The sequence below is a fragment of the Homo sapiens genome, chromosome 12 (genome assembly GCF_000001405.40).
Source record: "Homo sapiens chromosome 12, GRCh38.p14 Primary Assembly".
In the NCBI taxonomy this organism is placed as follows: Eukaryota; Metazoa; Chordata; class Mammalia; order Primates; family Hominidae; genus Homo; species Homo sapiens.
The window spans coordinates 80319998-80347059 of NC_000012.12; the positions used below are offsets into that span (position 1 = coordinate 80319998).

A 27062-nucleotide genomic window follows, 5' to 3' on the forward strand; every position below is an offset into this window, starting at 1 on the left:
CTCTTTTCTATCATCAAGTTTAGCCATTAGTAGGTTTTGTACATTTGTAAATGTTAAAGCTTGCAAACGCAAATATATGTCCAATTAATCATTCAATTTCTTGTATGAAATTGTACATTCTGGAGTCCTCATTGACATTTCCTTTTTTCCCCCAAGGACAAAATAAATTATTAAAAAAATAGAAGTTACCAAAGACTGATTTTTTTTTTTAGTGATATCACTGTTATTCACTGAATTTAAAGTACTACTTTTTTTTTTCTTCTTTCAAGCATCTCCTAGTTTATTTGTGAAATCTTAGTTATTGGCACTAATTATGTTTGGCAATTGTGCAGTACTATTTTGTTTACTTTATAAGTACATTTTGTGATGCCAATGTTGATGATCTTCCTTCTCCTGAGAATCCACACTGCTCTATATTTTACAGCATTAGCACTTGTTTCCTTGGAATCTGCTGAAAGGCCAAACTACTTTCTCTATGTCCATGACAATGATACTCTTAGCTTGGAGCTGTGGGAGGCGAATTCAGCCTTTCATCGGAGAGCAACATTTTTCCACCATCAGGGCCTCTGGATTCCTGGTTACAGTGCATTTGAGTTATACAGCAAGAAAGGCTTTTTCATCATATTCACAGATTCTAGTGTCAAAGCATCAAAATATGATGATTCTGAAGAATTTAAACATTCAAGTAGCTTCAGCATAGAAGGTATGTTTCCTGAGATCTCCAAAAAGAGAACAAATAGGTAATTTATATTAGGCAGAATATTTATGTCTTTAATTTAAAAACCATTCTTACTGCATATAAGCAGATAGACTTTTATGACCTTAAGTAAGTGTCTTAACCTCTATACCCCTCTATATCTCCAATATACGTATTGGAGAAATAATAATATGTACTTTATCGGGTTATGGTGAGTATTGAATAAGTTGATGTAAATTACTTAGAACAATCCTAAATAACCTGATTTTTTATTATTATTACCCCAATTATTACTACCAGTGCTGTCTGGACATTGGAATCAGGGCTCACTCATGTGGCTTAGTTGTCTAATGTTTATATCTCCTTTTTCTTTCCTAGAAGGCAACTCTAATTTATCTGATTCTTAGTGATAAGGACAATATATTTACTTCTGTCATTTGAATACAAGGTGTCTGTTTCCATTGACCTCTAGAAGATTTCTCTAGTTCAGCAGAAACCTAATCTTACTTCTAGAGAGCCTTTGAGGTCTATAGCTATTGAATTTTCTGCAGCAAGCTTCACTCCTTTATGCAGTGTTTAAAAGTCATGCTTTCTTTTCAAAATCCAGAAGCTTGATATCTATCTTGAGTCTCCTCAAGAAATCGTTTCATCCTTGTGAACCCTCCTAAAGGAGTTCAAGACAGCAACTAATTTGCCTTTTCTGTTGAGAATATATTTCTGCAAGCCCTTCTAATAATAGATTTTAAACAGTACAAATTGAGCTTCAAAATACCTAATGTTAAATGACAAGTTAATGGGTGCAGCACACCAACATCGCACATGTATACATATGTAACAAATATGCACGTTGTGCACATGTACCCTAAAACTGAAAGTATAATAAAAAATAAAAAAATAAAAAATAAAAAAAAATTTTACCTATTGAATACAGTTCTTCTATGCAAAGATTCCTAAGTCTGGCAGGAGGTTTTGTGCAAACCCAGATGCCAGAATTCTGCAAGGGTTCTTACTCTGGCAACGAGCTCAGAACAAAGAAAAAGAAGCTCTAATATCTCTACCATTTGCATTCTTAGGTGTGGTGACATACATTCTTTAGTGTGGTGACATACTCACAAAACAAGTCAGGCAAAGGAATTTTATTACTTAACAGACAGGCAGCAAGAATCAACAGAAGCCTAGGATTCATGGTGAGCCAGTCCTCTAGGCTCAGAAAAGCCCAGGGTGAACTGAATCTTGTCTGCACATGCTCCAGGTTGCACTGCAGCTGAGGGACCCTGAAAGCACTCTGCCCTGGATTTGATACTTCAGGTGCAACTGGAATCACCGAGCACACACTTTGCAGGACATCCTGTTGGGAATGGCAACAGAGCCTGGATTGTTTCAGAAGATTCCTCCTTACCTCAGGATAACCCTCAGAACATTTTGCAGTTGTTTTGAGATCTGCAAGTGGGAGAGAGAAAGCAAGGAGAACCAAGGGGAGAGCTGTCCTCCTACACTGTGCTCTTGAGAAAAGGAACCACTGACATATCTATATAGCATTCCATACAGTGGATGTGATTTGCTTACTTCAGTTTACCTACCGTTGACCTTTACAGGCCTCTATTTCCCCTCTGCTCTAGAAATCTGTGCCCTTAGAACCAGACCTAGTAGCCCCATTTGAGGCTTAGAGAACTGCAGCACATGGCATCATCAGAATATCAGAAGCTGATCTTTGTGGGCTTCTGAAACCTAGGAAACTCCAGGAGCCTATTGTAGTCTTGGAACCAGTCCTCTTTCAGGATGCGTGAGACGAGTAACTCAAGTTCAGCAATTACTTAAGTCTTTAGATGTATAGATGCTTTCCAAAAAGACTTATTTTCCTTGCTGTAATTTGGAATTGAATTCTGTGTCCAGAGTCCAAGAAACATACCTGCTTCCTGAATTTTCTTTCTTAAGAGGTTCTCTTGTTCAGAGATAGCTTTGAACTGCTACAAAAGGACTTCTCTATGCTGTGGGAAGGTGAGAGTATTAGCAGACCTTGCAGGAGAAAAACTTCAATCAAGGGAGGTTTTAGAACTGTATGCATGTATTTTTCAAATCCGCCCATATATTTTGTTGTATTCAAACAATACTTATCTGGTACAAGGCAACGTGCTAAGTTTTCTGAGAACAGCAACAGAATATTCTTCCTAGATTTGAGTTCATGAAATGTATTTGGTCTTGCCATTTTTCTAATTGTTTGAACTTGGCAAGTTTCTTGGCTGCTGTGAGTCTCAATTTCCTCATTTATAAATTAGAAATAATATCTACTTAATAGGGTTGTTGCAGGATAAAATAGAATAATGGATGGACAATTACTTTGCAGAAAGTAAAATTCTAAACAAGTGTTTGGTATTATGATGTGAAGACAGATGAAAACCCACTACACACACACACACACACACACACACACACACACACACACACACACACACATATATAAAATATTTTGAATTTTCCTCAGCCTCCTCCAACCACTTGCTTTTTTAAATCTTTGGAAGATAGGTGTACATGTAGATATTTAATCTGAGCATGAAATGCTTTGGTCACCAAGCAATTACAGTGTTTTTTCTTCAGTTCTGTCTTTCCTGTAGCATTGTAGTCAAAGAAGGGTCAAACCCTAGGAGGGTTCATATAAGAAACTGTTAGTTTTTGGCCAGGTGCAGTGGCTCACACCTGTAATCCCAGCACTTTGGGAGACTAAAGCGGGTGGATCACCTGAGGTTAGGAATTCGAGACCATTCTGGTCAACAAGGCAAAACCCCGTCTCTATTAAAAATATAAAAATTAACTGGGTGTGGTGGCATGTGCTTGTAGTATCACCTACTTGGGAGGCTGAGGCACGACAGTCACTTGAACCCAGGAGGCAGAGGTTGTGGTGAATCGAAATAGTGCCACTGCGCTCGAGCCTGAGTGACAGAGCGAGACTGTCTCAAGAAAGAAAAGGGAATTGTTAGTTTTCAAGCTATGTATTAAATATGCACACAATCTAAACTTTATTTTTTCCCAGAAATCCAGGCAGCAGTGCCTTACAGGAAGATGTGTGAATGGAGATATGAACCTTGTGCTACACCCTGTTTTAAAACATGTAGTGACCCTGAAGCACTAGCATGTAAATTTCTTCCACCGTAAGTAACGTTTACCAATAAGTGATCAAAGTCCAGCCTTAGCAAATTCTGTTTTCAGTTGATTTTTTTCAAGATTTTAAAAACAGCCATTCTCAAGTTGTATATGCTATATATTCTTTCATGATATTAATTTCGCTTAAATCAAGAAGTAGTTATTGAGAGCCTACTATGTGGCAGGCAATCTTCTTGCTGCTGGGGAGACAGTACTGAACAAAATAGACAAGTACTTGCCCTCATGAAGCTTACATATTGTTGGATTGAGCAGAAAATAACCAAACAAAAATGTAAATATATAATGCAACATATTGTTATGGCGGATATGTGTTACAGAGAAAAATAAAGGAAGGTAAGGGAGACAGAGAGCATAAGGCATGTGTGTGTGTTTGCCAATTAATGTTGGTGGTCAGTGAAGAGCACCCTGACAAGGTGACATCTGGTCAGAGATCTAAATGTAGTGAAGGCACTGGCCAGGTGGATATCTGGGGAAGAATCTTTAATTTGAGAACAGTGCAAAGGTCTTGGAGTGGGAATGTGTTTGGTGTGTTCGAGGATCAGCAAGGAGGTCATAAGTTAGAACAAAGTGAGCAAAATGGAGAGAAGTGGGAGATGAGACCAGAGAATCATATTAGTGGGCAAATCATATAAGGCTTTGTAGCCTGTTGTAAGGACTTTGTCTTTTACTGTAAGATAGGAGACCTGGCTGCATTTTAGGCAGCTGAGTGGCATGATCTGATTTATGTTTTAAAAGGTGTACTTTGCCTGTTGTATTGAGAATGGGCTGTTGGAGGAGAGGAGGACAGGGCAGACTTGATCGGTGATACAGACAAGAAATGAAGGGGATTTGACCAGGTTGGTGGCCCGAGAGGTTATGAGGAACAAACAGATTTAATATCATTTATGAGAGAAGGAAGAGTTAAAGAATCAAGTTTTGGCCTCAGCAGTTATTAGGTGAAATACTATGAAGTTTTGCCATTTTTGGTAGCCAAATTGGTCAAATAGCAGTAATTTCAAATGATTTGATCTAATAGAACTGCATTTAATGAGATAAGGAAGATGTTAGAAGAAACAGTTCGGAGGAAAGGTCAGGAATTTGGTTTTCAGGATCTGGAGTTTGATATGGAAAATTGTTCATTGGATTTAGCAAGTCAGAAAATAGGAAGAGACAAAACAGAGACAGAGAGTATAAACAGCTTTTTTTTTTTAATAATATAAGAATTTTCCATAAAGGAGATATGGATCAATAGTAGGAGAGAATATTTTTATGAGAATCATTTTACAATTGATTGAACAATTATGAGGTTCTATTCTATGGCAAATGTTGCCAATAGGTAAGATCCAGCCCCTCTGTAAGATCCAGCCCCTCTGTAAGATCTGTGAGATCTATGGCAAATGTTGCCAATAGGTAAGATCCAGCCCCTCTGTAAGATCCAGCCCCTCTCTCGAGGAGTGCACAGTCTTTGGAAGGAAACAGAAACAAAAGAAAACAATCTTAATACATTGGGAAATGGCCTAGGGAGGCCTTGAGGGGTAAAAACAACAGCTAACACATTTAAGTATTTACAATAAACATGAACTGTGCCAAGTGCTGTAAAATGGTTAATCTCAGTATTCCTATTCCCAGAGGAGAAAACCAACCGAGGCACAGAGAAGCTACACAGTTTGCCCTGGTCACACAGTTTGTAAGCATTAGTGCCAGGGTTTGGACTGCTACACCCTGTTGTTTGTCAAGTGCTGTGAGATCAGAGGGAAGAAAATGATATTACTGTTTAGTGTCTTAAAAATAAAAACAATCACTCATTTTCTTCTGAAAAGAAGTCTTCATTCATTTGAGCTTCTCCCACTCACAAATCTATTTCCTGCCTCTTCTGGTAGCCATCAGGATGACAGCATGTAACAGTGGCCCTGGAGTGAGGCTAAGCAATGCGAAGGGCATGTGGGGAAGGAAGGAAGACAGCAGCAGGCACAGCTGGCAGGGCACTGGGGAGGACATTGAGCCATATTTTGAAATGGCATTTGGCTAGTTTATGACTTCTTATGGGATGACGTGGGATGATCAGTCTCTGGGGTGGTGGAACCCAGATCCTTAATGCTTCCAGTGTATTGGGCTGTAGCTGTCCATAAGTTTCTCTTTCTGTATGTTTGGGATGCAGAGAAGAGACTCACGATGAAACTTCGCCCCTGCCAAACTGATTCTCATCTCTACCTCCATTTCTTTCTCCTTTTTGCTTTCGTTGTGCCAAAGTGGCTAATTATTGCTCCTTATACCTGCAGTACTTGAGGAAGGACTCAAATACTGAGCTGGGGTTTCAGTATGCCCCTGTGCCCCCTCCTCCAAGTCCGCGACATAACCAGCACTCTTGTTCTAGGTGATTGCAGTTTCTGGCACATAGCAAGTGTTTAGATAAAAATGTTTCATGAAAATTAGAGCTTTTACGAGAAAAGCTGCCAAGTAACATACCATAGAGCACATATGTAAATACTGTTATTCCTATTATCTAATATGCCTATTATGAGAACCATTCTGCATCTGAGGCATTAAACTTATCAGTTAGAAGTTGAGTAGAATACCAATTGTATGATAAAAGAAAGCAAACCTGCTATGTTGATGATAAAGACATTTTAAGGAACAGGTTAATAGTTTTTTAAAAAGTATTGTACAAGGATGGCTGTGGTTTTGACTTGCATAAAACAACTGCAAAATAATTGTTTGCATAAAAATTGATTTTGACCCAATTAAATAATAACTAACTAGCCCTTGTCTGTCAGTGATCCAGTAACTTTCCTTTTTCTTTTTTCTTCCACTTCACAAAGTTTAAAATAAGAATGTCATATGCTAGTTAAAGTTTTATTACTCAACTTCATTTTATGAAATAAATAATTAGTTATATAAGCTAAGTTGTTTATGTTTTTAAAAAATCAATTGTGAAGGAGGTATCCAAGAGATGGCTAAATGTGTTTCATTAAACCTCATTAAGACAGAAGTTAACTTTTCTTGTCTTTAAAAAGTGTTGCCTGGATTTGCCTCCAAGAACAAGGGTCTTCTGAGCAGCATTTACCTTTAGTGCCGAGTTAGTTTGTTTCCATCTGGAATGAAACGAGGCCTTCAACACTTTAATTCAAATTCTTTACAGATGAGGCAATGGAAATGTTTTTAAAATTTGTAAATATATTATTTAAAACTGCTAGTATATTCTAGAGGCAGATGAGCAAGCCTTTTTATAACAATATCTGCATGAATTCTCTGTAGTATGTAGTAATATAATAATTAGAGTTGGTTGCACCTGAAGGATTATATTTTTTTCCTTTGATTTAGAATAAATTGAACTCTGAGCCTTAAATGGACATAGAAAAATGTACTCTCAGTCATTATTTTGTCTCCATTCCTTTAGAAGAAAAGCATTCTCATGTTCCCTCCTGTCTTTGGCCCACAACATGGCCTCTTGAAATTTGAGACTTTCCCTTGTCTTCTGTGCTCCAAACAAGGACCAGGGATTCTTACCAAGTCCAGACATCCTAGGGCTTGAAATAGAATCTTTTCAGGCTGTCATACAACCATGTCCTTCCAGGGCACTGCCCCAGATTTGGGCACAGGTCCTAATTTTCTTGAAAACGATAGCTTCTGCTCCTTCCTCTCCCTGTTCTCAAAAGAACTGCAACCATGATCATCCCTTCCACCTAGAGATCACTAATATCTTTTCAGTGAGTTTAGGATTAATAACAGGCAGGGAGAGCCACTGAAGATTCTGTATTTGTTCTACAAACACCGTCAAGGCAATGATAGTGTCAAAGAGCATGCCAATCTGCTTGGATGTGAGGGGAGTATAAGAGTGGAAAGCGGGCCGGGCACGGTGGTTCACGCCTGTAATCCCAGCACTTTGGGAAGCTGAGACGGGTGGATCATGAGGTCAGGAGATCGAGACCATCCTGGCTAACATGGTGAAACCCCATCTCTACTAAAAATACAAAAAATTAGCCGGGTGTGGTGGCGGGTGCCTGTAGTCCCAGCTACTTGGGAGGCTGAGGCAGGAGAATGGCATGAATCCGGGAGGCGGAGATTGCAGTGAGCCGAGATCGCGCCACTGCACTCCAGCCTGGGTGACAGAGCGAGACTCTGTCTCAAAAAAAAAAAAAAAAAAAAAAAAAAAGAGTGGAAAGCAACAGTACAATCAATACAGATTAAAATCTCAATAAATTGGCCAGGTGCCAGGGCTAATGCCTGTAATCCCAGAGCTTTGGGAGGCTGAGGTGGGCTGATTGCTTGAGCCCAGGAATTCAAGATCAGCCTGGGCAACATGACGAAACCTCATCTCTACAAAAAAATAGAAAAAATTAGCCAGGCATGATGACACATGCCTGTAGTCCAAGCTACTCAGGAGGCTGAGGTGGGAAGACCACCTGGGTCCAGGAGGATGAGGCTGCAGTGAACCAAGGTCGCGTCACTACACTGCAGCCTGGGTGACAGAGTGAGACCCTGTCACAAACAACAACAACAACAACAACAACAACAACAACACCTTAATAAATTATTCTTCCACATTTCCACTGACTTATGGAACAGGGACTTAGTGTGCCCCAAATATAAGTGTATGGTTCTAATATTCTGTGTCCAAGTTCTGCCTTAATTTTAATCCTATTCTCTTATCATCCTCTAGCTTGTGATTTTATAAAACGAAGTAGCAGATGGAGCAGTTGTTAGTGCTTGACAAGGGTATATAGAAGCATTTTAGGAAGAATATATCTTAGTCGCATATGTTAAATGTAGTCCTTTTTTTTTTGTATTTCAAACTTTTCTTCACTTTGATTTACTCTTTTTTCCATGTAAAGGGTTGAAGGATGCTTGCCCTACTGCCCTAAAAATATGATCCTTGATGAGGTCACCCTCAAGTGTGTTTATCCACGAGACTGTAAGTGTGAACGTTGCTTAATTTACTCTGAAAAATTATACGCTTGCATATGTTTTTTCCGAGGCAAGTGGTTGTAAACAGAAGTTTTAAACAGACAATCAACTCTCATAAGATTATTCTTCAATGTCTCTTACATAGCTTTTTTTCCCTAATTACTTTTTAAATCATGTAGATCTTCCACTAACATCTCTCCTGCATTCTTTTTCCCAAAACATTTTCCTTGAAGCTAAAGAGTCCTCTATGAAATATGTGGGTCTAATTTTATGCAAATACAGTTTTATAAAGAGCACCTTTGTTTCTTTGTAGGTATACCTGTGATTCCCACAGAACCAACATTAATGCCACCAGCTAAGCCAACTGTGCCCATGTTTACAGGTATTGTTATAATTTTAGACAACAAAAGTAGCACTATGTAGTTTAAGTGTTGGCTTAATTTATGTAATTTAGGTGTTACTATAGCTGCTATCATTAATACTACCTATGGGCTAGGAAACCCAGCAGTCACTTTTGCTTCATTAAGCTTGTCCATTGGCTCAACATGCCATGTTTTCTAGAACTTCTGGCCTCAAAGGATTCTTCTGCCTGAGACCCCCAAGTGCTGAGATTACAGGCATGAGCCACACTGCACTGGGCTACGTGCCTCATTTTCTGAGTGGCTTCTGCATTTGGTCCACCTCGTTCTTCATTTCAGTTCGTGTAGATTCCTTGGACTTCCCTCACATCTAAAAACCTAAATTCTACTTTTAGGTTTGATTAAATCCCACTTAGATTTTCACAGTGATTAAATTGGCTCTAATGAAACAGACATAAATCAGGGTTTTCTTTATTGCTTCCATTTCCATGTTTGCATTCTGTCTCTGGCTCTGGAGGAGGCATTCTGGGCTCCTACCCTTGCTTTCCTCCCGCCCTGTGAAGCTTGCCTCAGGGAAGGATTTAATAAATCCACTCACAGTGAGGCTCAACAAACTTAAGGCATTATTCCTCAAGGTAGTATAATGTAGGTCAAGTTCAGATATTTATTCTTTCCATTTATTTGACAAGCTTTAATTGAGCACCAACTCTACCTGGTACTGTCCTTGCCCTCAGTGAGGAGATATGATAAACAAGTCACAGCCCCTACCCTAAAACTGCTGATAGACCAGAGGCTGTTGCAATCTTACAACAGGGGTAAATACAAGCAGCCCACACTAGGACCATCATATTTATTTTGGAGGTGTGGTGTCAGAGGTTAATCGAAGACAGAAGTTGGGTAGGCTAAGAGAAGAGGGAAATATGTTCCTATTAGAAGGACAGCATGTGCAAAGTCTGGAAGTGAGAGAGAATATGTCACATGAAGGAATCTTAAGCAGGTCAGTGTATCTTGAATGTGCAGTTTGAGGGGAATTGTGCCGAAAGGTGGAGTGGAAGAGATTATCGGGGGCAGGTCACAAAGGACTCATGGTAAGAAACAGGATTTTTAAAAAGGCATTAATAGCTTCACTAAAACCATCACTAGTAAGACTGCTTCTCTGGTTAGCTACCATTTGAGTACTAATTATATGCCAGGTATAGGATTAAGCATTTGTCATACTTTTAATCTTAATAAGAGCCCTACGAGAGAGGTTTACCCTTCTAGAGATGAGGAATTACTATACTGTTGTGAAATTTTAGGCATCAGTGAATTTAGTATAGTTTAAAGCATGCTTTGGGAGAAGGTGGAGGTACTTCGCCTACATCATTCAATTTATAAGGGGAATAAGTCTATGAAATAAGATTGCATGTTTTAACATCTGGGGCATAGACTGTTAATTATTCTAAGTATTGCTCTCTACTTTGAGTTCTCTTATATCCCCCAAATTAATATTCAACATTATCTCAAATGTGTAAAATGATTTAAACAACCATAATCTCTTTGCAGAGAATACAAACTATATTTCATTACTCTCAAAGATAAAAAAATAAAGCTATTTCTATTTCTATTTGCAGATGTCATGATCTTAGGTTATTCTAAGGGATCTACTGAAACCTATTAGCAATATCATATGAGTTCAGCAAGGTTGCAGAATGCAAGAGCAATACACAAAAATCGATTGTATTTCTGTATACTAGCCATGAACAATCTGAAAATGAAATAAAGAAAACAATTGCATTTATAGTAGTATCAAAAAAGAATAAAATGCTTAGAATATATGTAGCAAAAGAAGTGTAAAATTTGTACCATAAAAGCTATGAAACATTGTTGATAGAATTAAGAAGCTGAAGAAATTCCATATTCATGGATTGGTAGAGTTGTTAAGATAGCAATACTCCCAAATTGTATTTATAGACACAATACAATCCCTATCAAAATCCCAGCTACTGCTTTGCAGAAATTGATAAGTTAACCCTAAATTCATATGGAAGTACAAGGAACCTAGAATAGCCAAAACAGTCTTGAAAAATAACTAATTTGGAGTACTCATACTTCTCAGTTTCAAGACATATCACAAAGCTGTAGTTATCAAGACAGTTTGGCCATTGTAAATCCACACCCAGATAATGTTTATAAGCCTTTGATGATTTTAGATAACAGTGAACTGTTAAGACCACTGAACTTCCCAGTCATTAGAATTTTTTTTTTTTTTTTTTTTTTTTTGAGGTGGAGTCTTGCTCTGTCACTCAGGCTGGAGTGCAGTGGCATGATCTTGGCTCACTGCAACCTCCAACTCCCAAGTTCAAGCAACTCTCCTGCCTCATCCTCCCAAGTAGCTGGAACTACAGGCATGCACCACATGCCCGGCTAATTTTTGTATTTTTAGTAGAGGCGGGGTTTCGCCATGTTGGCCAGGCTGGTCTTGAACTCCGGGCCTCAAATGATCTTCTCTCCTCGGCCTCCCAAAGTGCTGGGATTACAGATGACAGCCACCGTGCCCGGCCAGAAATATTAAAAGTTTTTAAAATGTCGTTGTGGTATGCTGAATAATGGTCCTCCAAAGATGTCACTGTCTTAAGTCCCCAGAATTTATGAATATATGACCTTATATGGCCATTCATGTGACTAAATTAAGATGATGACTGGCTTATGCCTGGATCATGAGATGGGGAAATTATCCTGGAATATTCATGTGGCACCAATGTAATCACAAATTTCCTTAAAAGAGAGAGGCAAGAGAGTTGGAGTCAGGGAAGGTGATGTGACAATAGAATCAGAGGAAAGAAGGGAAAAGGAAGGGAAGGAAGAAGGGGAAGAGAGAGAGATTGATTTGAAGATTTCGTGCTGTGGTTCCGAAGTTAAAGGAAGGGACCATGAGCCAAGTCCAGATAGTTCATAGAAGCTGGAAGAGACCAGGAAACAGAGTCTCCCTTAGAGCCTCCAGAAGGAATGCAGTCCTACTAATAGCTTGATTTTAGGGCTTCTTTTGTTTAAAAATTAATTAATTAATTTTGAAAATTGACAAAGAAAAATTGTATATATTTATTGTATACATGTTGTTTTGAAATATGTGTACATTGTGAAATGGCTACATTGAGCTCCAAAACAGCTAATACACTGGTGTTGTTTTAAGCCACTAAATTTGTGGTAATTCATTACAGCAGCAATAGGAAACTAATGAGGTTATTTTTAAACACTGTCAACTACGGGCACTGCGATTATGGCTGAGAATAATTTCAGCCATTTATTGTGGCTCTTCTGTAATCTTTCAGACTGAATATTTTAGAGATACCTCCAATATTGACACCTTTAGAAGGTGCCTCACAGATGTGTTTACCAATCACATCTCCCTTTTCTATGGGTCACTCCTAAACCACACCCATCAACTAGGGCTTCCACATGGTCCACATCAACATTTATTCTGCTCACAAGGAACACATTCTCAAGGTTCACCAAAATCAAGGGGTCAGCCTTATTACTTATTTTCAAAATGTAAGAAGATTTTTAACTTCTGAGGAATGGTTAGTGATACTATTAATATTTTTTTTACCTGTTCACGCAATTGTGTTGACACCATTAAGAAAGTGAAGGTGTTTAAAGAATGGTGATTAAAAGCCAAATTTCTGGAATCAGAATTCATTTCCAAGTTCAAATTCTGCCTCTGCCACTTAACAGCCTTACTTCTCTACAGCTTAGTTTCCTCATCTTCTGTAAAATGTCGATACTATTATTACCAACATCACAGGATTCTAGGAAGGAATATGTGAAATAATCTATACAAAATTTCTTAGCACAGTTTCTGTCACATATCAATTCCATGCAAGATAAATGCATTCCACTAATGAGGATTACTTTTTCATTTCTGACAGTTTGGGAAATGATTACTCCATCAGACATCACTGTGTTTGATATGCTAACACCAACTACAGGCTTGGAATGTGAGGTATGACTGAGCAATATCTTCCAGCTCTTTGTCATTTCCATATATCATCCATTCAAATTTCTGTGTCAATATCCAAATGCTACTAAACTTTTTTTGATATGTTCTCTAGTCTAGCCTTGCTAAAAGATATTAAGAAATATGCATTTCATTGGAACAATTGTAACTGATATTTCTTATTAATTAGCTTCTAGTCACACTAAGAAAAACAAAATTGAAATAAGATCTTAAGTGTGATTCCTTAATAAAGAGTTATCTAGTATGGATTTATCTGTGAATCAGGCATTCATAAAATATTATTAAGCATCTACTTGATGTCAGCCACTGTGTAAGATGTTAAACATACACTGGAAGCAAAAAAGATAAAAGTCATTGTCTCCTAGAACTAGTAGTTTTCTCTCCTAAGAGTTGGGCAGAGATCTTCTTATATCAAATATACCATTTGCTCTGATAAACTATTTATTCAACCAATATTTATTTAGCACCATTTCTGGCCAGGCACTATTCAGATCCTATGGAAAAAATATAAAAGTAGGCAAATATTTCTGCCTTTCCAGAGTTTACGTTCTATTGGAGTTTCTGAGATAGCCAATAAGCAAAATAAATGAAGTTATATAAAATGTCAGAGGTGCTGGTCAGGAGAAAAATAATACTGTTTTTAATAAGATGATTTGAAAATCTTCACTGATAAGGCAACCTCTAAGCAAATGATCTGCAAATGTTAAGAGAGTGAACCAATGTAGAGGACTGGGTCAACAAAGTTCCAGGCAGAGGGACCAGCAAGTGCAAAGGCCTTGAGGCAAGAATGTACCTAATGTATTAAAAGAATGACAAGGAGACCTGTAAGTAATAAAGGAATAAAATAGTAGACAATAAAGTAGATTATGTTAGACCTTGTGTTGTAAAGACTGTGGCTTCTGTTCTAAATGACTTGGGAAGGTGCTGTGTATTTTTGAGTCAAGGAATTACACCATCTGAGTAGCTTCAAGATCATTTTGGCTGGTATATTGTGGGTAAGGTGTAAGGAGGGAATAGAACTGTTTAGGAGGCTATTGTAGGAATTTAGGCCAGAGATGATGATCTATCACCTGGTTCAGGTGATAGCAGTGAAGATGGTGAAAAGTACCTGGATCCTGGATATATTTTGAAGGTAGAAAGATTACATGTGAAGTGTGAGTAAAAGGGAAGCAACAAAGATTCTAAAACTTTTGCCTTCAGCAACTAAAGGGCTGGTGTCAACCAGGATGGAGAAATCTTGGGGAGTGCATGTCTGGGATGGGTATAATCATGAGTTCAGTTTTGCCATGTGAAGCTTGAGATTCCTCACAGACAGCAAAAAGCTGTGGACATATAGATTTGGCAGACATACATGGAGTATATATAGGTCATGCTAAGAAAAAATTTGGGAATTCTCAGCGGATAAATGGTATGAGACTGGGTGAGATAGTAAAGGGAGTGAGTACAGATAGAGAAGTGAAAAGGGCCACTACAACTTTCATAGGTTGAGAGAAGATGACAGACATGCAAATAATGTTAACCAGAGAAATAGGAGAAAATGTAGGAGGCTGCAGGTGATCTGAAATCTAAGGAAAAGAATATTATAAGGAATGTGGAGTAATAAGCTATACTGAATATATTAATAGGTCTGAGATGAGGTCTGAGAATTGATCACTGGATTTAGCAATGTGAGTTGCTGGTGACCTTGTTAAAAAGAGTTTCAGTAGAGTGGTAGGTCTAAAATCCTCTGGGTGGTTCAGATGTCTGTGAGGTCTATAGTTCTCTTGTAATTGCTTTCATTTTTCTGGCTAAATGAAAAGCAAGGTCAATACCTGAGAAGTGGTACAACTTTTACACAGAAAATTTTGGAAAATTGGACTCTTAAATTTTGAAGTGCTCACTTAAGAGTCTTACTATTTAGAAAATTAGTAATTTCTCTAAACCTTATTTTAAAAATCATATATTATATTGGAATGATAGAAACTGATCCAAAAGATTTAGGGAGAAACAAATGAAAAAAGATACTTTATTAGTGTATGGTATGTAATAGGTGCTAAATAGTTGTTAATTTTTATTCTGAAATCCCTAGACATGCAGTAGAGAGTAGTGGTCAAGAGCATAGATTCCCGAGTAACAGTGCCTGGACTTAGATGCTGACTCTACTATCTTCTATCTGTGGGACCTTGGGCAAATTACTTTAACCCCCACACTGTTTACTTATCTATAAAATAAATATGAAATAATAGTATCTACCTTAGAGGGTTAAGAGAATGAAATGGGTTAATTAGAAAATGTCTAGTTTAGCATTGCTATAATTATTACCATAATTTAAATGGAATGTGATTTATAAATTTTGAAAAATCTACCACTTATTTATTTATTATTTGTTTACCTAGACATTGTGAGTTACATATAAAATTAATTTATGATTATACACTCTAGGTGCTGTGAAACTGATGTTATATATAAAATTTTAATAAAGTATTTAAATAGCATTAAGTTGTGATTTTTAAGTTGACATTATGACACATGAAGTTATATTGATATACTAGCTTTGCACAATATAATGTGAAGGGTCAGCTGTCATTTTATAAATTTGCTTGCAAAAAAACTAGGGAATTCAGGAGAACACTGTTTTCTTCAGATGTTTGAATATATGGGCAATCTAATGTCCAATCAATATTAAGTTAAAGCTTAAATTAAATATACATTGAATATTATAGAAAGGGTACATCAATAAAAAGTTGCAGCATAATTTTAATTCTTTATCTTTCAAAAGTTTTTGTATTCAATAAATGTACACCATGGGCAATATGAATGTGGAATTTAAAAATCAATTAAAAACATTAGCTGAGAATGAAAAAACCCACTAATCTTTTTTTATTAACAGCCTCAGAAATTTGATCCTGTTTATGATTGTAGCCAATACATATGCCTTAATATGGAATGGCAGTTATACAACTGGTCCCTTAATTGCCCAAAGGACGTGGAAATGCCTGACTGTGGTTTCCGAGGAAGGCCAGTTCAAGTGAACAGTGATATCTGCTGCCCTGAGTGGGAATGTCCTTGTAAGTTTGCATTTCTTAAGCGGTGATCTTTTTTTTTTTTTTTTAATCTGGAGAGATTGTTACTTTTTTGAACCTTTCACCTCATCAAGCCAAAGTTACTGTTTTTGAGTTTTCATGATTTGATTTATGATTTTGGCTCACAGTATATAACTTTTAGAGTTGCTTCTTGTCAGACATAATAAGGCTAATTTAACAGATTTTTTTAAAAGAGCAATTATTACTGAAAATGCAGATAGTTAATAGACTAAATCCACTTTCCACCATTTTTATAGGTCGGTGTTCCATGTTGTCAGAACTGAGCATTATTACATTTGATGGAAACAACGCAGCATTATATAGCATGGCTTCTTATATCTTAGTAAGAATTCCTGGTGAAATTATAGTTGCTCATATCGAAAAATGTTCCATGAATCAGGTGGGTCATAATTTATTTTTGCAGTCATTTCATCATAAATCTATAGCTAATGTCTATTGCAACATCAGGGATTCTCACAGGAGGAGGGAGCTCAAGAACTCACTGAGATCGGTCTTCTGATAATGTTTCAGAAACATTTCTGAAAACCTTTCTTATCAATCTATTTAGAGGCATATAAATCCGAATAATGTTTTAAAAAGTCAAATAATGCATTTAAAAGTATTTCTTTTTTTTTTTCCAGAATGGAAACTCCTTAAAAAAGCTAGTGAGTATTTGCAAAGTGTTTAGTACATTCATTCTGTTTATCACTACAATTGTGTTTAACTCCGTAAAGTTTTAATTTTTTTCAAATTAAGGCTCCCTCTGGAAGAATCTCTGGACTTTGTTTTAAGAAGTTAAATGTGACAACACCCATACATAAAATAATTGTCAATCGGTTGGCAAGAAAGGTAAGAATACAAAGTTAAAATTTTTTCTCACATTAGATGAAAATAAATTATACAAACAGTTATTTCCAATAAGAGGGAAAATTAAGCATATCAATGGAATTTAATTGTTATATATAGTAATCATTTCATAGACAATATAAAATGTGTTTCTTAATATTATATTTGTCTCTCAATAATGTGCCAATTATTGCAAATATTTTCCCCTGTGAGGTTAACTGCAGGGACCATGTTAAATACACTAGCGACCTCTGAGATAGTGTGATTGGCCAGTCTTCTTTGTGTCAGAGTTAATATCACGTTCCAAATCAGACAGAGTGGAAATGCTATGAAGGAGAGGGATGATGATGTGGAAAAGCATAGTAGCCAAGAACACCGGAATAAAGACCGTTAAGAGAAGAACAGATAGAAGGAGTGGGTTTGAAGTGTTGACATAATTAAGTTTTTGGTGAATAAATGATAGCTAACATAAGAAAAATATGAAAAAATATTTAACTTTTTTGAAATAAATTGAAGAAGCGCAATGTATTATAAAAAAGCAATGCATTATAAAAAATGAAAGGAGCCTTTTGGTTTTACAGGAAAAACTCTTATCCCAAGGAATATGTGTTTGCCAAACAGGAGTGCCTTATGAACTCAGTGCTTCACTCAGTTCTAAGTTATTCTCTGTAAAATATGAAAAAAAAATGTGTAAAGATTTTTTCTTAAAATGGCTGAAGTACTATGTACTTTCTGGAAATAACTCCATTTGTTAGCATAGGTCCATAGATTCTAGACTGAAAAGAATATTAAAATGAGCCTAAAAATGTAAGAAGATATTTAAAAGGTTTAATTAAGTAAAACAAAATATATAAAAGAGGTACTTTTTTTGAATGATAGCATTTGCATATACCTTTGAGTTCGATGAGGTTGATATACTTACAGGAAGTGGGTGAGAAGTAAACACAAAGCTGGTCAGTGTCATTATTTGGAGCATTTGGGTGGAAGGACTTATTTTTGGCCCCAGATGAACTCATCACTGATCATTCACTGGTCAGGCACTGTATTCAGCTAATAACAAGTTATTTTGTAAAATGACTTAGTGAGAGTTTAACATGATAAAACAACATAGGTCCTGATCTCAAGTAACTTATACTTGTGCATGATTTGCATAATGTAATTACCTGCTGATTAGAAAGCAATAGGAGGAACAGTGATAGAATTATGACCAAGATATCATAGAAATAAAGAGAAGAGTAACTTAATGTCTTATAGTTTGTAGTCGGATCAAACAGGTCTTTTCTGGGGGAGGTCACACTTAAGATGAATCTTAAAGAATAAGTAGAAAGAAGGAAGAGAAAGAGAAAGTATGTTTCAGCTCAAGGACAGCATTTATGAACAAGATATAAAAATGAGACATTGAATGGTTGGTGAGGCATAACTTCGAGAAATTTGCTGCTAGTTACAGCTCATGGCTTCATGTCATTGCCATTATTTAAAGCACCGTTTTTCAAAGTACAATCCTTGGATTGCCTACATTAGTATTACCAAATACCTGTATAGACTGTATATATTTATTTAGTACATGCTAAAAATACAGTCTATAATCCAATGCAAACCTGCAAAGTAGAATCACTGGGAATCTTGATCTTTAACAAGCCTGACAGATGATTGTTATGAACATTGCAGTTAAGCAAACAATGATTTAGAAGATCAAGGAAAGAATCCAGATTAAGGAAAACATCCAGAAAATAACATTATTATCTTAAATTCATATTAGAAGGATTGTGTTATCAATATAAACATAGATTGAAGGAAACAGACATAGAAGTGTACATAACATAGAAGAAAGTTAAATTTTGAGGAAAATGAAAGGCAATGACGTTAGAACACATATTGACTAGAGCAAGGCACAGCAAAGGAACAATAAAATAGCTTAAAGGTTCTGAGAAGCTGTGGCAGCAGTAAGAAATACATTTCTTAAAAAAATTAAAAAATAGTTTACATTAAATCAGAATAAAGGAATAATCTGTATTCTCCTAATTTGTATATTTAAGTAAATATTTCTTAACAGGTGTATTTATGTTATTCTAGGTAGAAGTGGATTCCATTGTTGTGCCTTTGCCCTTTTCAAGTCAGGAACTGTCCATAGAGGATTCTGGTTCAATGTATGTAATTACTACTCCAGCTGGACTAATCATAAAGTGGTCTCATCTTACAGGAATCATAGACATTCATTTTGGCTTCCGATTTAACTTGTCATCCTACACAGAAGGACTCTGTGGTGAGCGCTGCCCTTCAAATCTTGATTTCGTCTGTTTTTTTTTTTTTTTTTTTTTTTTTCTATTCACGCTATGCCATTTTGGACCCTGTTGCCCCATTTTTCAGATTTGAGATGTGATATTAACTTTCAGTTCCCATGTAAATACGGAAGGAAGCAATGATTTTTCCATAAATGTGCTAAGAAGCAGGAAATAACACTTCAATTTGGGTATTTTATGAAAATATATGCTTACTGCTGTTACTACGATGCTGTTTGTATTTCCACTAGCTCATCTTTATTAGGCATTAATGAAGCATCAGGCATTATTTTACACATTTTAATTCACTTAATTTTAAGATCTAGTAAGTAGATAATAGTGTTATCTCAATTTATAAGTGATACAAATGAGGCATAGAAAGTTTAAAGGCTTACATATCTTTGTTTCCTCTTAATTTTTTTAAAAGCTTGAAATCAGGGAAAACTTGTTTAAGTCATCTTGAAAGAACATACCATTCAGGATATTTGTCCTAGTTTTATTATGAAATGTAAAGCTTAGATATACCATTACATCTAGGTTTAATATTGCAATGTATTACACAGATATATGAAGAGTTTTAAGTCAAAGAAAACAAATTAGAAATATCTGTAGGTACATAATGAAATAAAAAGAATACTGGCTCTGGTGTCTGCTAGAAATTTGAACACAGGTTATTCTCTTTACAGTTGTGTGCTCTGAAGAGAATGTCAGTTTCCTCATCTTTAAAAGTGGACAGTAATATCCATTTTCAAGATTGTTTGGATTACATGTGAAAGTTAATGTAAACACAACACATAAATACACACAGTCAATAAATGTTGGTTTAGTACAAATATATCTATTTTTAATCTCAGTAAATATTAATTAAATAAAAGTTTATGGATCACCTATTGTGTGTCTGACATTATGCTTGAGGCTGACAACTCAAAAATGAGTGGCTAAGTCCTTGCCCTCAATAAATTACACAAAATATCCAAATTTCCTGTTTAAAAATTTGAACATTTTTGGAAATTTTTGCTAAAATGGTTTTCATGGTTCCTCACTTGTTTAGAGTATGCTAAACATAGCATAAATTTCTATGGTGACTTAAGGTTATGATTTGGAAATAGGCATTATTGAGTATATGTACTAAATCAATAGTTATTATTGAGTAATAACTGAGACTGGAAATGCATATTTTCTCCTATAACTTATCACTTTTGAAGGGTATTATTTCAGTTTTATTTTTATGTTTTTTATCCTTCTCTACTATTAGCTCTTGCTTTCATGTAGACAGCCACTCTGCTAGCTGGATTCTTAACTAAGCGCTGCAGAGAGAGGGCTAGGATCACCTTTATGCTAACCAGGGCTCATGCCCTAAATTCCTTGACCTCCACAATGAGAGAAGTATACTTCATTAAAGGGAAATCTGGGTACTGTCAGGATCACTAGACTAGGTGCTGGCTGAAAAGCTTCTAGTGAGTAAGACTGTTATCCAAACAGGGTCTGAACACTGGAATGAGAGGCTTATATTGACATCTTATTCTACACAGCACTATGAAGTCTGGAGTGGTGACTGAAGTTGCAGTGCAAACATATTTTTACTAGAAATTACCTTTCTCTAGAAAAGTTTAGACTTAAAAAATAGTAGCTCCTTTACAATGTAGTCCACTTAGGTTTTTTTTTTTTTTTTTAATGTTTAATTGCACGTAGTACCCTGTGTATTTACAAAGGTGAGGCATTGCAACCTTTATTCATCCTGATATATCTCCTTGGGAATTAAGATTTGATGTTTGAAGAAAATTTTTATTCATATATTTTATAGCCCAGAGTCTTGGGAATTAAGAAAAAATATGTCTTAAAGTCGGGTGGGATTTGGGTAAGGTATGATTGTAGGCCTGGTCTCATTACTTTCCTTGGCTCTGCACTGCATTTGGTGAAGAGTAAGCTCATCCTCAGTTTGGCTTTTCTCAAGGTAAATAGAGGCTGCAGCAGGTCAAGGCATCCCAAGGAAGGGAAATTGCCTGTGTCCTAGAATTCCCAGTTCAAGTCTTGAGCTTGACAATAGTTGTCCCTATGTTGAATAAATTCATGTGCCTAGGTGACTGCTACATGCTTGCTGGTTTATGCCTGGATTACCTGGAACAGTTGCTAATGCAAGGGAATGAAGATTACCTTTATGCCAATCAGAGCCCTCACCTGGAATGATGTCATGCACTAGGTGATGGAGTAGTGATAGTTCCTGAAAGAAAAATATTTAATATTTTCAGGCAGAGTTTTCACAGGGAAGTGGAAGCCTGGGAGCCAGTCACCAAATGTCCATTACTGTGGAAAGTACCTTGCCAGGCCACTAGTTACTAAGTTAGAAGATGGTGGTAGTAATGGAAGAGTATAGGAACAGAATTAATGTCTTCTTTCTTAATCTTCTCTGATCTCTTCATGTATCTTGACTTCTAGGCTTTTGATTTCTTTCTTACTGGGTTAAGGCAGTTAGTTCTACACTATTTTATCAAAAAATTAGAACATAATTTAAAAAGTTATTTCAATGTAAAAGTTCAAGGATACATAAACTTGGTACCTTATATGGTAAATCATTTGTTCATTTAAAATCAATTATTTAACTGATTTAGTTGTGCTGTCTACATTAGTTTAAGTTTTTTTCTTCTAACTGTCATATATTCTTTCAAGGAATTTGCAATGAAGATCCGGATGATGATCTAAGGATGCAAAATGGCACAATTATTACAAATATGGAAGACATAGGATTATTTATTGAGAGCTGGGAAATTGAGAAATCATTTGAAGTAACAATGAGAAGACCTGTTAGGAATTGTACTGAGCATGATTGCAGCCAGTGCATTGATTTATTAAATAGAAGAATTTTCATTCCATGTCATGATAAAGTAAGTTGGAAGCAACCATAAATAATACTTTCATGTTAGATATGTTGAGAGTAAAAGCCAATACGTTACTGTTCTTGCTATAATGTTCTTCTACTGAGAACAAAACCCCCAACCTTCTGTCAGTATGCTTTGGAATTCAGAATCACTTATTGTTTACAGGCTTACAAACACAAGAAGGATAATTTTATTTCTTTTCTTTATGCTTCGTTAGAATTATATCTACAGCTTTCAGAAAAAAAATGAAAGTTTGTCCTATGAATAAATGTCTCCAGGAGACAGAGATCAATGACATTTGATAACCCAGTATTAAGACCAAGACAGTGAGGCTTTAATCAATTCCTTATGATCCTGGCTTCTTAGGCACATACTTGTAATAGAATCTGTCACTTACTCAATTTACTTGGTCTTTATTAGTCTCTAACTTTCTGAGTTTAAGTGATTAGTAGGCATTTTAAATAATCTATATTGTTTAAAAAATCCATTATTAAAGACAAATGACAAATACAGTATTTCATGATCACTTAACTATAATTTAGTGAGCATCTAGTACATAGAAATCACTGTGTTAGATTCCTGTGATAGAAAATGAATAGGGCGCTCTCCTTGCCCTCAAGGAGCCTAGTAGGAAGGGAAGTCTGCGAGCAGATACATTAAAGTGTACATTATAGAGGTACACAGGATCCCAGGTTTGGAGAAGACTTTATGGAGTTTTAGATTTTTCTTTTCTTTTCTTTTCTTTGAGACAGTCTCACTTGGTCGCCTAGGCTGGAGTGTAGTGGCACGATCTCGGCTCACTGCAACCTCTGCCTCCCAGGTTCAAGTGATTCTCCTGCCTCAGCCTCCCGAGTAGCTGGGACTGCAGGTGCCGGCGACCACGCCCAGCTGATATTTTTAGTACAGGCGGGATTTCACCGTGTTAGCCAGGATGGTCTCGATCTCCTGACCTCGTGATCACCCACCTCAGCCTCCCAAAGTGCTGGGATTACAGGAGTGAGCCACCGTGCCCGGCCCAGAGTTTTAGATCTTTGAATTGTTTAAAAGTATGAGTTTGCTAGGAGAGAAGAGGGAGGGATGGAGTTCCAGGCAGAGATAACAATGCAATGGTCCCTCAGTGGGAGGTTAGTTCCAGGACCTTCACAGATATCAAAATCCTTGGATGCCCAAGTCCCTTTATAAAATATAGTATAGTATTTGCATATAACCTACACAATTCTCCCATATATGTTAAATCATCTCTAGATTACTTATAATACCTAATGCAAGGTAAATGCTATATGAATAGTTTTTACACTGTATTATTTTTTACATTTTTATTATTTTTTACATTTTTATTATTTTTTATTCTTGTTTTTTTTTTTTTTTTTTTTTTTTTTTAACTTTCTTTTCCTGAATATTTTTGAGAGCTTCTTTGGAGGTTCTAGCAGGGGAGTGCTGCTACTCGTATACCCTTGACCAAAGGCCGGTCCTCTGTCGTGGATAGTCGTCCTTTCAACCAAATGTACACCTTCAGGAGGGACGTAAATGGAGCAATGAGGGAGGAAGGGACACTTGCTTAGCGAGCCAGATCAGCCGAATCAACCCTGGCCGTCAGTAGGATGACAGATGTCACAGCGAGATCTCTCTCACATCGGTTTTTCTGAATATTTTTCATCCGTGGTTGGTTGAATCTATGGATGTGGAAACCGGAAACCCTGGGTAAGGGGGGCTGACTGTATATGCAAGAGAAAGTTTGGTTTAAAGGCCATGTGAGGAAAACATTAAAAGAGTTTGGTGCAACATCTATGAAGGGAAGAGTCAGGGAAGGAAAGCAAGGGAATTGTCAAGTCAGGAAGGAGCTCACTGTGAATGACTTTTGATGCTGCCCTACGCGTTCCCTGAGGGAAAAGACGAAAGTATGAAGTCATGGGATAAAAATGACATATCTTTGTGGAACTTCAGTTTTACATGGAGATTTGGATAAAAATAAGTTTTAAATGTTCACATTTTTAAAATGCATGCACATAAACATGAAGAAATAGCAAACACTTTAAAACTCATTCAGTACCACTTTAGTCTGTCTTTTTAAAGCATCATGATTTTTTAAAATTGCGTTTTTAACTGGGAACTTGAAAGGTTGGTTATATCAGGAAACTTTCAGCTTGACTATTCAAGGCATAATGAAGCAATACAGGATACCATTTAGTCTGTGATAGCTTCCACTTTTCCCTTATAATCTTCCAGTATACAAAAATCAGCTGGGTGTGGTGGCACACATCTGTAATCCCAGTTATTCGGGAGGCTGAGGCAGGAGAATTGCTTGAACCTGGGAGGTGGAGGCTGCAGTGAGCCGAGATCGCGCCATTGCACTCCAGCCTTAATGCTTACTTAAAGTGTGTGGGTTTTGTTTATTGTAGAAACGTAAATGGGCATCAAATTATGTTGTGTCTTATGCTGGAAAATCTAAATCAACAACCACATAAAACTATTCCTATGGTAACATCTAAAAACCAATCATGCAGAATTTAAGGATAATTACTAGAATATTTTGCTTTATTGTTTATTTTTATAAATAACAAGTAATCTTGGCTCAAGAGGTTTCTTCAGAACTAGTTTTAGAATCATTTGGAAAGTCAGGCTTGTCCATCAAGATCCTCATTAAACCCATCACTCTCTTCACAAGGAACATCTTGCTTTTATATTTTCTTAGGCTGTTCAATGATGGGATAAATTTTTATAATTTTTTTAAGTGTTATAGTTTGAATATCTTTCAACAAAAGAAAGTTAATTTGCCATTTTATCTGCTACATAGATATAAATCAATTTAAAGAAGGCATTGGCTATATATTATATATTATATTTTATATATTATTATATATTATATTTTATATATTATAACATATATTATTATATGTTATATTTTATATATTATAATATATATTATTATATGTTATATTTTATATATTATAATATATATTATTATGTTATATATTATAATATATATTATATGTTATATTATATATTATGATATATAATATATTTTATATTTATAATGTATATTATATATTATGTATAAAATATATATATATTATATATATATATTTTTTTGAAGAGTCTTGCTCTGTCATCCAGGCACTGATGTCATCCAGTACAGTGGCATGATCTCGGCTCACTGAAGCCTCCACCTCTCAGATTCAAGTGATTCTCCTGCCTCAGCCTCCTGAGTAGCTGGGATTACAGGCATGTGCCACCAGGTCTGGCTAATTTTTTGTATTTTTAATAGAGATGGAGTTTCACCACGTTGGCCAGGCTGGTCTCACACTCCTGACCTCAAGTGATCCACCTGCCTTGGCCTCCCAAAGTGTTGGGATTACAGGTGTGAGCCATCACACCTGACCATGGCTATAATATTTTTACAGTCAGAGTTGAAAATATAATTTTTCATCATGGAAAGAAAAGATAAAAAGTAAAACCTAAATAATGTAAATGGATTATTTTAACAGTAATGGTCAAGAAGAACTCACAAAATTGGCTTATTTTGCAGATTTTTTTCAAGAGTGACGAATTAAAAATACTATAAAAAAGTTTGAGAATAAGATAGAGATAATTGACTGTAGGACCTACTAGTACTTTCAGACTCTCAAGTACTCAAAGCCTCTAGATGTGTTTCCTTGAGAAACTAAAAGAGACCCTTACAAAGCTTATGAGGATTCTATACACAGTAGCCTGTGTCTTCAGACAACATCTTTAGCTGCATTCTGGTCATGATGATTCAGTGATAACTCTGGCACAGTCCATACAATAGTGGAAAATGCATTTTCTTTTTACCCACATAGTTCTTGGATATTGCAAAACGGAGGTAGAGAAGACACAGTATTACCATCATGCTGAACTCGATATTTGGCATCGAACCTCCTCAATTCACTGCAGATTTCTTACGTGGATATTAAGGGAATGAATGCAATACCAAAGTGCCCATTAATCCATGAGATAGGCAGGGTGTATTTCTTTTTCTCTCAAAGCCTCAAGTCTTAAGACATTATTTTTATTTAAAAGACACAGACTATTAAGCACCAGAATGTAAAACTTGCATGACCTCAAAAAAATACTTCAAAGAAATTTTGAGTTTATAGTGACTTCTTTGGGCTGAACTCTAATCAACCTTGAGATAAAGTTTCCCTTTCTCTACCTTCTGCTTCTAAAAGTTACTTTGATTAAAGTCCTGTTGCAAGAAAAAAAAGAAAGTTAAGAACTAAAAAAAAAGGGAGGGTCATGACAATTTGCTCAATAGATCTGTATGAAGGTCTGAAGAAGATAGGCTAGGCAGGTATAGTAAGGTAGCTAATTAAAAGGTCTCTGAGTAGTTTTTATTTATTTGCTTGTTTTAACCTTTTATTGTGGTAATGTTTACATATTCACAAAAGTGGTGGGAACAGTATAAGAACCTTTCAGTGTCCGTCATCCAGATTAAAAAACCATTTAAAAATTGCCTCTTTTTTTCTGCCTATCTTTTTCACTCCTTCTGCCCACACCCCGCCCCTGTTGAATTATTTTAAAGCAAATCTACTTTGGGAAAATGATGATGGATTCTGCTGGTCAGTGGGAAGCAAGTGAGGACAGCAGCACGTTCAGAAAAGAAAGATGGCATTTGGGAGACATTTGGGATGTGGAAGGGGTAGGATTTAAGGACCAATTAGATGTTAGTGCTAAGGGAGGGTGAGCATTTGTAGATGACTTCAACTTTCTAGCTTAAACAGGGTAACATATCGAGATAAAGAAATTCTTGATGGCTTGTTGATACTCAATCTGTTCCATCCAAGCTATCACTAAGTCATGTTGATTCCACTTCCAAAATATATTCAATATCCATGCATTTCTTCCCACCACCATTTGAATCCAGACAACCATCATCTCTTGCCTG

General features: G+C 36.2%; 1 protein-coding gene and 1 pseudogene across 7 annotated transcripts in view, besides 1 other annotated feature; one reads left to right on the forward strand and one right to left on the reverse strand.

Annotated features, from left to right (window-relative positions):
- OTOGL (otogelin like) overlaps positions 1-27062 on the forward strand; it is a 281344-nt gene that overhangs the window by 220461 nt on the left and 33821 nt on the right. For all 7 annotated transcript variants that reach the window (NM_001368062.3, NM_001378610.3, NM_001378609.3 and 4 more), the window contains 11 exons: positions 425-703; positions 3726-3843; positions 8668-8747; positions 9054-9122; positions 13008-13081; positions 15966-16143; positions 16416-16558; positions 16800-16823; positions 16915-17007; positions 19078-19267; positions 21951-22165. In NM_001368062.3, the coding sequence (NP_001354991.2) occupies positions 425-703; positions 3726-3843; positions 8668-8747; positions 9054-9122; positions 13008-13081; positions 15966-16143; positions 16416-16558; positions 16800-16823; positions 16915-17007; positions 19078-19267; positions 21951-22165 (1463 nt within the window). The remainder of the gene's footprint in view (positions 1-424; positions 704-3725; positions 3844-8667; positions 8748-9053; positions 9123-13007; positions 13082-15965; positions 16144-16415; positions 16559-16799; positions 16824-16914; positions 17008-19077; positions 19268-21950; positions 22166-27062) is intronic.
- Positions 205-738: an enhancer, noted in NCBI's record as "OCT4-NANOG hESC enhancer chr12:80713982-80714515 (GRCh37/hg19 assembly coordinates)". NCBI's record gives its function as "activates a minimal SCP1, AML or CMV promoter by ChIP-STARR-seq in naive H9 embryonic stem cells {active_cell/tissue: H9 hESC(naive)}" and the evidence as "EXISTENCE:reporter gene assay evidence [ECO:0000049][PMID:30033119]".
- RN7SKP261 (RN7SK pseudogene 261) lies at positions 23518-23795 on the reverse strand (annotated as a pseudogene).